Source organism: Homo sapiens, chromosome 15, assembly GCF_000001405.40.
Source record: "Homo sapiens chromosome 15, GRCh38.p14 Primary Assembly".
NCBI lineage: Eukaryota > Metazoa > Chordata > Mammalia > Primates > Hominidae > Homo > Homo sapiens.
This window is the reverse complement of record NC_000015.10, coordinates 22745015-22757355: the sequence shown is the minus strand read 5'-3', so window position 1 is coordinate 22757355 and position 12341 is coordinate 22745015. Positions and strand designations below refer to the sequence as shown.

Genomic DNA, 12341 nt, shown 5'->3' with positions numbered 1-12341 from the left:
TGACGGGGTTTCATCATGTTGGCCAGGCTGGTCACGAACTCCTGACCTCTGGTGATCTGCCCGCCTCAGCCTCCCAAAGTTCTGGGATTACAGGTGTGAGCCACCGTGCCCGGCCTATTTCATATTTTAAATATTAGAAAAGTAGAACTTGGCCAGGTGTGGTGGCTCACACCTGTAGTCTTGGCACTTTGGGAGGCTGAAGTGGGAGGATCGCTTGAGCCCGGGAGTTCAAGACCAGCCTGGGCAACATAACAAGACCCTGTCTATTCAAAAAATAAAATTAGCCAGGTGAGGTGGCACGTGCCTGTGGTCCCAGCTACTCGGGAGGCTGAGGCAGGAGAATCGCTTGAACCCCAGAGGCGGAGGTTGCAGTGAGCCGAGATCGTGCTACTGCACTCCAGCCTGGGAGGCAGAGCCAGACTCCATCTCAAAATAATAATAATAGTAATAATAATAAGCTTGGGCGGTGGAGGGCCATCCCCGGGCATTGGCCACATGTGGAGTGACCTGGCTTGGCTCCCTAGCAGCCAGCTTCTGGGTCAGGCATCTTCGTTGGTGACTTTCAGCTCTCCTGGTGTGGCCGTGAGTGGTGTGGCACTGCCGTGACCCATCTTTTTGTCTTAAAGATGCATCCTGACTTACCTCCACACTTGCACACTCAAGAATGCAACATCGTGATTAACTTGCTAAAAGAATATCACAAAAATCATAGCATCCGAACATTTTTTGGTCATTGCAATGATCTGGATCAGGCAATGAGAAAATAAATGCTTGAAGAATGAGTACATGGAAAAGAGGACCAAGAGCAGAGAGTATGGCAATTTGATGCAAAAGAGACTTTTTTTTTTTTTTTTTTTTTTTTGAGACGGAGTCTTGCTCTTTCACCAGAGCAAGTGCAGTGGCTCAATCTTGGCCCACTGCAACCTCCGTCTCCTGGGTTCAAGCAATTCTCCTGCCTCAGCCTCCCACGTAGCTGGGACAACAGGCCTGTGCCACCACACCCAGCTAATTTCTGTATTTTTAGTAGAGACAGGTTTCACCATTTTGGCCATGGCCAGGATGGTCTCGATCTCCTGACCTTGTGATCTGCCTGCCTCAGCCTCCCAGAGTGCTGGGATTACAGGAGTTGCTGTGTCCAGCCGCAAAAGAGACTTTTTAATTCTCCAGAGGAATCTGAAAAATAAATTGCATTTTCACTGGATGCCTTGGCTGAGAGAAGACCAAAAGGCTATGGGTTGGCCCGGGCATGGTGGCTCACACCTGTAATCCCAGCACTTTCGGATGCCGAGGTGGGTGGATGACCTGAGGTCAGGAGTTCAAGACCAGCCTGACCAATATGGTGAAACGCTGTCTTTACTAAAAATACAAAAATTAGCCAGGCGTGGTGGCAAGGGCCTGTAGTCCCAGCTACTCGAAGGCTGAGACAGGAGAATCTCTTGAACCCAGGAGGCAGAGTTTGCAATGAGCCAAGATCACGCCACTGCACTCCAGCCTGGGTGACAGAGCGAGACTCCGTCTCAAAAAAAAAAAAAAAAAAAAAAGAAAACGCAGAGTGCATAGCACATGGTAGATACTGACACTGCACTGAGTCTCTTACACACATCGTCTCATTTTACTCTCACAAAACCCCAGGAGTTTGGTATCTTTATTCTAATTTTTGAGAAACTGAGGCTCAAAAATATTAGGGATATGTCCAAGGTCACACAATGAGTAATTTGTAGATCTGAAATGCAGACAGATCTCTCATTCTGAGCCAAGTGCTTCCACAGCACAGAAGGTAGAGAAACAAAAGTTCCCTGTGGAGTTGTGGGATGCTTATTGAAGGTAGCTCATTTGGTGTGGAAACCAAAACACAAATGTGCATTAGTGGGAGTCAAGGAGGAAGGAGGAGGGAGGGGAGTAGAGAATTTCATTGCAGACTGAAGGAAGAGAATGCTAAAAATACTAATTTGTGAAAAAAAAACTTGGCAGTTTTAGTAATTTACTGGTATGAGGAGAAATAAAGTTAAAAGAGTATGAATGGTGTGGCGGCAGATCATATGAGAGGTATAGTGAAAATTTACAGAATCTGCTGACCCCAATGTCAACAAAATTCATGGGGCCCAGCTCTGTACCTGCCATGACCAAGTTTTAAATTTTTCTGTAGATAGGCTGTTCCTTCCAAAGCTTAGAGATTAAGCATATATATATATATATATATATATATATACACACACACACATAATTGTTTTTTTTTTTTTTGAGATGGAGTCTCACTCTGTCGTCCCAGGCTAGAGTGCAATGGCATGATCTTGGCTCACTACAGCTTCCGCCTCCGGGATTCAAGCGATTCTCCTGCGTCAGCCTCCTGAGTAGCTGGGATTACAGGCACGTGCCACCATGCCTAGCTAATTTTTGTATTTTTAGTAGAGACGGGATTTCATCACGTTGGTCAGGCTGGTCTTGAACTCCTGACCTCGTGATCTGCCCGCCTCAGAATCCCAAAGTGCTGGAGTTAACAGGCGTGAGCCACTGTGCCCGGCCACATTTATATATTTTTAATTGAAGCCACTAGACCTCAGCATGTGGTCTAAACAAAGGCTCTTCTCCTAGTTCAGTCCATTTTCCATGATATCAGGTTCTCCAAAGGATGAACCCAAGAGGTTCTTGTTAGCTGAAGACAAAGTGAAAGGCTGACAATGACATGCAAATTTAGTAGAGCAAAGAATACACATTTATAGTAGAATAATACAAGAATTTTTTCCTTTCTACCATACAAAAAAAAATGCTTACAATGCAGGTACATTAATTTTATATTAAAAATATCCTTAGGTTGACCTCTGATGTTTTGCTTTTGCACCTGCTGTAAGCCTTAAGGCATTTGGCATTCCCATTTTCACAAACCTAATTTAGTAGACTAAATAGCTATGCTAAGCATTTCACTTGCTTTCTATTATTGTTTGGCTGTAGACTATCACATAATGTGAATGTTATTGATTTTATACATGTTAATTTCTCCTACGACGTACTATAGCAAGCTATACCTTTAGCATTTTTTTTAGGTTTTTGGCTTATAGGAAGGTATCTCCTAAACCATAAAACTTATCCCATATTTTTTTTTTCATAATTTATTTATTGAGCTTTGCTGTATGTAGCTTTTTGAAGTAGATTTTATAGTTTAGAATTGTTGCTTTCCTTTTTTAATCTTTCACTCTTCATTTTTATTGAGCTATGAATTAACTATCTTTATTGTAGCGGTAAAACCATTTGTAATAGTCATAGTTTGATTGAGTGTACATAAATAAATAAAACCCCTACGTTAAACTGGGACGTGACATCAGCCTCTTTTTATTTTTTCATTTAAATTCTGAAAACACATGGAGATGAGTGTCCTTCGTTTCTACCTTAAATGGGTTGTTACAACTGAAGGTAATAGGGGCAGTCAGTTAGCACAAAACAAATGGGCAGCTACACACAAAGAACATTTTAAAGATAAAACATGGGTATTTAGAAGGTTGCTTCCATATGTGCTATGAGTTATGTATGAGTATCAAGGAGAGAAGACAGTAACAACTACCTGGTAATCATTTATGCTCTTATGGAGAACGAGCGGTGACTCCATAATGTCCCCAAAATGAGGCAACAGTCTGTCACTGTAGCAAATGATGAGAGGGCCCTTGAGCTAGCAGGCTGGGGCACATTCTACAACCCCTTTCCTTTGTCCTGTAGGAAATTCAACTTTCACATATGAGAAATACTAAAGGAATTTTCTCAGCATTCACATAAAAATACTCTAAGAATAAAGATAAAAAAGGAATATATCAACTCTTGTAATAACTAGAAACATGTTGCTACAAAACAGATGAAAAAAGGAATGAACATTTATACATTCCAACATAAATTTTAAGGGTGTAATAAAACATAAAGAGACCATGAAGTGAAATGCAAGAGCATGGGGAAGAGATAGCCAGAAAGTGCAATAGCAACTGGCAGAATCCATGAAAGAAATAGGATTTAAAAACAAAATCATTGTAGGAAAAAAAAAAAAACTAAATTGTAAAGAGAACAAGGGAGACTGAACCCCAAATAATGTAAGGGTCGTAAAGGGTGTAAGTGAGAGAAGAATATGTAATAAGTCCTCTCCCCGTCCAAAAATCCAAAAACTGTAAAACATAGGATAGAATTAGAAAAAAGTTATTGCCTATATTAAGCCAAGATAGATCATCATAAGCACATATATTTACATTACTGTGTAGTATATGCTTATATATGTTATTAGAATGTTCAACACCAAGATATATCTGTGTATGGGACTAGGACTTTAAAGATTAAGAAAGCATTATGTGGGGGCTTAAGCAAAAATAGTCAACTTAGAGAAAAAGAAAATCATTTTGGCATCAGAGTTTTCCACAGCAAAAGTTAACACCAGAAAATGGGGGGAAATATTGAGAAAGAAGAGAAGGGAGAAGCAAATGGTTATCCTTATCCTTGCAAGATATCTATCAGCTATAAAGTGTACAGTTATAAGCACCCATAATTGCAGGGAACACTGTTTACAGAAAGTTCTTATTAAGAGATTTACCACAGGACAAAGTTCAATCAACCTAGTTCTGAGTAGGTAAAATACTACCAGTAAGGCAAGAGGTAAGCATTCAATGCATCATATATAGATTTAAGGGATACATGGTGTAGAAAATGTAAAAAGATATTTTACTGATGATTCTGATAATGTACAAATGATTCAACTGTAACAACTAGGAGGACAGAGTAAAAGAAAGGGGAAAGTAGGAATTAGCTCCCTGATTGCCTCGTCTATAATAGCTGAGAGTAATGGGTTCATTTTAAATCTCAAAATTTGCCCATAATAGTATGAAAACATTAAGTGGCACAAAGGCAAATATTAAGAAATATCCTGCCACAAAAATCAAATAGTTCAGGAGAAGTTGAGAAAGTGAAAATAGCAAAGAGTCTAATTTAATTGCCACTCATTGTGGGGAACCATTAGGTATTATCTAAATAAATGGAGAAAAATATAAATGCAGGTAAAATTACAAAAATAACAACCAGAAAACTACATCTTTCTTATCAATAAAAATAAATTATCATTTAACAATATAAAATATTTAATACTAAATTTTACAATACATATACAAGAAATACACCAAAATCAAATATAGCCAAATGTTTTAAAAATAAAATGGTCAACAAATACCAAACAGACAAATGCTAACAAATGAATTATCAACCTATTTTTATTGTCTTCTCCTTGCTTATTTTTTAAATTCCTTTTTAAAATTTTGTTTAGATACTTTAAAATTACTTTTTATATTATTTTCTCTAATAATTCTAACCTCCTGGTTTTGTTTCTCGACATTTCTGCTGTTTCTATCACAATATCTATTTTCCTTGAGTGTTTTCTTGTTGGTGGTGTTCTTTTCTGGTTTTTATTTGTTTTGTTTGTTTGTTTTGGTTTTGATTGAAAGAAATACAACAATGGAAGCTCACACTACTGCAAGGTGCTTCTCCAGATTTTGCCTATCACTCATAATTCTACTTTTATTTACTTTTCAGATTCCTCAGTTAGTTGCTTATTGTACTTTTCATAGTTTTAGTTGTAATCAACATGTAAGATAGGCTACAGGGAGCTTATCCTGCCACAAAATACCAGAAATCCATCTTTTTTTTTGTTTCTTAAAAAAAGTCATTTTGAACTTGTAATTTGTAGGAAGGAACGCAGATTTAGAGGCATACATTTTCCATGACATGGAAAAATCATTTAACAATGTTAAGTCTCTATTTCAGCAAATACAGAAAAGATATGATTCACAGGACAAGAAAGCTGACAGTTAAGAACTTACATGCAAAGGCATTTCGACAAATAATATAATCCATCCTACTCCTAAGAGAGGAAAATTTGTATTAATGAAACTTCTACCAGGTATCACTTTCACCTCAGTTAATCCACAAACATTAAATCAGCAACATTTTGTGATAAACCATATCCAAAAGAGTTGATTGATGAAATGTCATTAATAGAACAGCAGTTATCCATGATTCAGTAAAAATTCATCAATCACCCATACAACAAACTTAATTCCATCTTATACTAAGCACATACACTACACTGAAAACTGTCAACTTCTGATGATCTAAAAATGTCTCTTCTATGACCATGTGATCACACTGAAATAAAGAATACAGAAAATTCATAGATGGTCAGTTAAAAAAGCTTCCGTGAAGCAATAAACTTTCCTTAAAAATGCCAAAATAGTAACATAGACTGCATGATATAACACTCATTTTACTGACATCATCTGTTGAGGCATTTTGTTAATCAAATACTTTCTTTTATATATACTTATAAATGTCATACCAGAATTACACATTTTCTAATGAAATACAAAAGCATAAAAGAATCGTATTCATAAATTGATTTTAATCATTGTCTCGGTTCAATATTACAAACAAGTGTAATTATGGTACAAGTACAAAACAAATGGTGATTAAAGCATGTCAGAAAACAGATGTTCCTGCATACAGATGGACAATCCAATTAATACTTCTCAAATAGAAAACAGCTATTTACTCCTTACTAATGAATGATATAATTATTTATCATTAATGAAGCTTGGTTTTTTAATGTCTCCATGAAGAGCTTAAATATAATTTTCCTAAAGATGCATTTGGGCCGGGCGCCGAGGTTCAGGCCTGTAATCCCAGCACTTTGGAAGGCCAAGGCAGGCGGATCACGAGGTCAGGAGATCGAGACCATCCTGGCTAACATGGTGAAAACCCGTCTCTACTAAAAGTACAAAAAAATTAGCTAGGCATGGTGGCGGGCGCTTGTAGTCCCAGCTATTCGGGAGGCTGAGGCAGGAGAATGGCGGGAACCTGGGAGGTGGAGCTTGCAGTGAGCTGAGATCGCGCCACTGCACTCCAGCCTGGGCAACAGAAAGAGACTCCATCTCAAAAAAATAAAAATAAATAAATACATACATACATACATAAATAAATAAGAAAAAAGATGTATTTGGATGGTTAATGTATTTTTAATGTATAATCATCTATTGTAGTTAAAAGATGATCAAATGTGCTGATTCACTCAGTGTCTATGTTTCAAATGCAGGACTTAAGGAACAATTTGCCATAAGCCACCAACTTATTGTTTTCTTTTAAATTATATATCTAACATGCATACATACACACACAATATATATATACAAAACATTAATAATGATGAAAATTTTGAGAATCATGAAGAATGGTATATATGTAATACATGTTTTTTTCACAAGTTTTCCAACTACTCTACTTTTTTTTTTAGTAGAATACATTAGATACTACAAAAGAAATGAAAACAAAATGATGTGGAATAGCATGTAAACAACAGAAAGAAGTTTTTGAAGATTGTTACAACACAGCTTCCCTAGCTAATAATACCTGAGAAAACCTGCACATGTAGCATATATGTGTCGCTACCTTTTAACATATATAATGGATTTATTAATATTTCTTCATTGCGTTGATGAGATGAATAAATAAAATAGTATGTATAAATACCTAGACCTTTGCTGGGTGTATAGTAAATATTGTGTTAAAATAGAACTCTTCTATCTTTCTACAGAAATACACTATGCAGTGATTACTTCTGGCTGTGATACATAAAAACAGGCAAATCTCAATAGAGAAAAAATATGTATTCATGATACATGATTTGGATTTTTCCAAAGAACAAAAACTATGAATTGGGTTGCAAGGATTTCCTGTTAAGACAACAGTAGGAATAAAGACATGGAGTAGAAGATACACACATTGAGAAGGTTTAACAGGCCTAAGCAAAAGATGCACATAATGAAACATCAGGAGAACAGACTAGAAATTCCTCTAAGCCTGTTGTGAGAGCCAAAGAAAATACATCTGGATTTGACTGTTGATAATGAGGAATTTCTGAAAGGTTGACCTATCACAGCTCTGAAAAAATGCTTCTAAACAAACCAGATTCCTTTGTCAAATAGATAAGGGAAATTACGGATATGTAATGCCACTTTAGAAATTTCAAATGCACATTAACAAAGCAACAGCGAAAAGCAAACCCCATTTAACTTTGTTTAACCTAGATTTTATGAACTTATTTACTAAGCAAACTCTCCCATCTGTATTTCCCTACTTGTAATTCTTATTAAGAATCACTGTTTTGGTGTCATTGGAATTTACTTAGAGAAATGCGGTCTAACCTCTGCTTTAAGAAGACAACTCTGGCAGAACTATCAATTGGAAAAAAGGAGAGTTTAGATGCTAGGAGGCCATTATAATAGCTCACTTGGGAGCTAATCTGTGCATGACTCTGATGGGAGAAAATAAAATTGAGAAAAAGGCATGCATTGGAGGCAACAATCCTTGGAATGTGATTGACCGTAGAGAATAATGAATGTGGAAGACCCAGAACAGACTTTAAACAAACTTTCAGATTCTTGCCAATCTGAAAAATATTACTTCAGACTAATTTTGATTTGTATTTTATAATGAATGAGGGTATTCATTTTTTTTTCATTTATTTAAGAGCTATTTGTATTTCCTTGTCTGCAAAATTCTGTTTGCATCTTTTCCTCAGTTGTCTACTGGGTTTTCTTCTTGTTCATTTCTAGGAGTTCTTTTCTAAATAAAGTAAATTAGCCTTTTGCCTCTGAATAAGTTTCAAATATTGGATCCCCAATTTGTCATATCCTGACTCTGTTTATCATATTTCTATGAGAAACTTATTATTTTCTTTTTTTTAATGGCTTCTGGATTTTAAGTAGGAGTTATTAGATCCTGCCCATCCCAGCTTTATTAAGGAATTCTCCTCCATTCTATTTTACACTTTATATTTCATTTACAAATTTCAAGTTTGGTCCACTCAGAACTTACTCTGGTATAAAGATAACTTTTATTTTCTAAATGGCTGGGCAGTTGTCCACAACCTCTTCTGGTTGGTTGAAGATCTTTTACACTAAATTCACATATGTATTTGAATCTATTTCTATTTTCTATTCTGTCTTTGTCTAATCATGTACCAGTACCACTGTGTTTTAATTAAAGATGGTATTATATACCTTAATATCTGGTAGAACTAGTATCCCTTCACTACTCTTTTTATTGTTTTCCTGGCTGACCTTGTTCCTTTTTCTACTTGAACTTTAGGATCAACTTGTCTAATTCCAAATGAAAAGCTGATTTTTTTTAATCAAAAGCATGTTGAATGCATATGTTTCTTTCTTTTTTTTTTTTTTTTTTTTTGAGACGGAGTCTCACTCTGTCGCCCAGGCTGGAGTACAGTGGCACGATCTCGGCTCACTGCAAGCTCTGCCTCCCGGGTTCACACCATTCTCCTGTCTCAGCCTCCCGAGTAGCTGGAACTACAGGCGCCCACCACCACGCCCGGCTAATTTTTTTTATTTTTAGTAGAGACGGGGTTTCACCGTGTTAGCCAGGATGGTCTTGATCTCCTGACCTCGTGATCCACCTGCCTCGGCCTCCCAAAGTGCTGGGATTACAGGCGTGAGCCACCGCGCCCGGCCGTATATGTTTATTTCTTTATTTATGTTTGTTATTAGAGATAGGGTCTCACTGCTGCCCAGACTGGAGTACCGTGGCTATTTATAGGTACAATCATAGCGCACTACAACCTAGAGTTCCAGGGCTCAAACCATCCTCCCACTTCAATCTCCCAAGTAGCTGGGACTCGCAGTGCATGCCGTCACGCCCAGTTGATACATAAGTTAACTGAGAGTTGACATCTTGATGAAGTTGAGTCATCCTACCCAAGAACATGCTTTTTAACTTGCTCAAGCCTTCTTTTGTGTCCTTGAAATAGTGTTTTCTTCACATAGGTCTCATATATGACAAACTTATATTTTATATTTTATCCTTTTTGTTGCTACCGTAAGTGGGTCTCTTCATCTTATCCTCTATAGGTTTATTTACATGAAAGCCACTGATTTCTACAAATTATTTTTATGATCAACAACTTCAGTAATAATTATTTTATTATTTGCAGAGTTTTGGGGTTCTCTTGGGTTTTCAAGTAGTTGTACAATCATAATGTCTGTAAATAGTGCTAGTTTTACTTCTTCCTTTCCTATTTTTTAATTTCTCTCTCATGTGATTGTCTTGGCTGGTACTGCAGTATAGTATTTAAAAATAGTGCTGACAGTGACATTTGTTGTCTGTTCTTGACTTCAGAGGGGACTGTTTATAGTGCTTCTCCATTAATCACTATACTGAGTTTTGGGCAGAAATATATACACACACATACACATATATTTTTTCATGTTACGGAAGCATCTATCTTCTATCTATTCTTATTTTACTGAGTATCAGAACACTCATTTTCTTAAATGCTTCTGCCTCATCTATTAAGACAAGCCTGTGATCTTTCCTTTGACGTGAAAACACTGAATACTGAATACTGGAATAAATGCCCCCCTCCCCTTGGTCAATAATTATTTTTTAACGTCCTGGTGACTATTACTGGCAAATACTTTATTTAGGACTTTTGCATCCATATTCATAACTGAAACTGGTCTGTAGACTGTTTTGTATTAATCTTTGTTAGGTTTTTTTTATCTTTAAGAATAATATGGAGAATACTCATCTTTTTTTAGGCTGGGGGGGTGGCTCACACCTGTAATTCCAATCACCTGAGGTCAGGAGTTCGAGACCAGCCTGGCCAACATGGCAAAACCCTGTCTCTACTAAAAATACAAAAATTAGCCAGGCGTGGTGGCGCACACCTGTAATGCCAGCTACTTGGGAAGCTGAGGCAGAAGAATTGCTTGAACCCGGGAGGCGGAGGTTGCAGTGAGCCAAGATTGCACCATTGCACTCCAGCCTGGGCGACAGAGCAAAACTCTATCTAAAAAAAATCACCTTTTTTAAAACATTTAGAACCATTTTTAAAACATTCTAATTATTTGCTTTTTATAGGTTTAGTAGAAATATTCTAAAAACAACTAACCTGCTCTTTCTTAGAGGTAGAAGAAAATAACTTCTCTCATGAACATGAGCAGAGAGGTGAATGAACATGAACATGAACAGAGAGATGAATAAAGATCTAGTTGGCTGAAAGGGTCATCGGTATAAGACTCTTTCAGCTCTTTATATTTATTACTAATGAATATATGGCTTTTTATGTACCCGAAGGACAGTTTGGATATAAAATCTTTAGCATGTATTTACTATATGATATAAAATCTTTAGCTCATATTTACTATCCTTGAGATTACAGCAATCACTCCACTCTCTTCTGGCATACAGAGCTGCCAGCCTAATTTTTTTCACCTTTTTATATACTGGTTTGATTGTTTTGCCTGAGTGCCTAAAGGATTCTGCCATTACCTTTTAAGGCCAATAATTTATATGCCTTGATGCTGACAGTTCTTGATCAATTTCCCCTACCATGTGATATCCTCTTTCAACAACCTTCACTTGTTTTAAGAAAATGTTCTTGAGTATCATGAAATAAGTGCTCTGTTTACAGAACGTTAAATAACTGTTCTGTCTGGTTTTTCTTCTTTGAGAGAAATTCAGTTTTGCCTATATTAGATCTTCTGTGCCCATCTTCTCTCTAATCCTTTCTCATTCTTTCTTGACTTTGGTTTCATTTTAATTTCCTCATTTCTACTCTGTGTTCCTGTGTGTTCTTCAGTGTTTACTCGCCCTTTGTGCTCTTTCCCATGTCGTGGTTTGATTCTTCCCTTCTACTTCTTTCCTGAATTCTGACACCTCACATCTTACCACTTCCTGTTTTCTTACCATATTCCTGCAGTTCTGGAATTTCTGCTCCAAGTGTTCCTTAGAGGAGCAGTCCCCAAACCTTTATGGCATCAGGGACCGGTCTCATGCAAGACAATTTTTCCACAGGGGAGCGGAAGATGATTTCAGGATGAAACTGTTCCACCTCAGATCATCAGGCATTAGTCAGAGTCTCATAAGCAACGCACAACCTAGATCCCTTACACGGGCAGTTCACAATAGGGTTTGCGCTCCTATGAGAATCTAATGCTGAGGCTGACCTGACAGGAGGTGGGGCTCAGGCAGTAATACTCGCCCAGCCGCCGGCCTGTCTGCCACCCACCTCCTGCTGTGCAGCCCAGTTCCTAACAGGCCACGAACCAGTACCAGTCCATGGCCCCAGGACTGGGGACCCCGGCCTTAGAATGACTGCCTTCTTACATTTGTTGTTGTTGTTCTTTTTGTTTAGTTCATGGTCAGACGTTTGCTCATAATTTTCACCTATTCTGTGACAATATTATTTTGGTAAATGTTCTTCATCTATGAAGTTTTATTAAATTTTGTTAATGTTTTTCACCTTTTATCAGCGC

General features: G+C 37.3%; 1 pseudogene; it reads left to right on the top strand.

Moving 5' to 3' along the window:
• On the top strand, positions 627–843 carry LOC100132817 (C-X9-C motif containing 2 pseudogene; annotated as a pseudogene).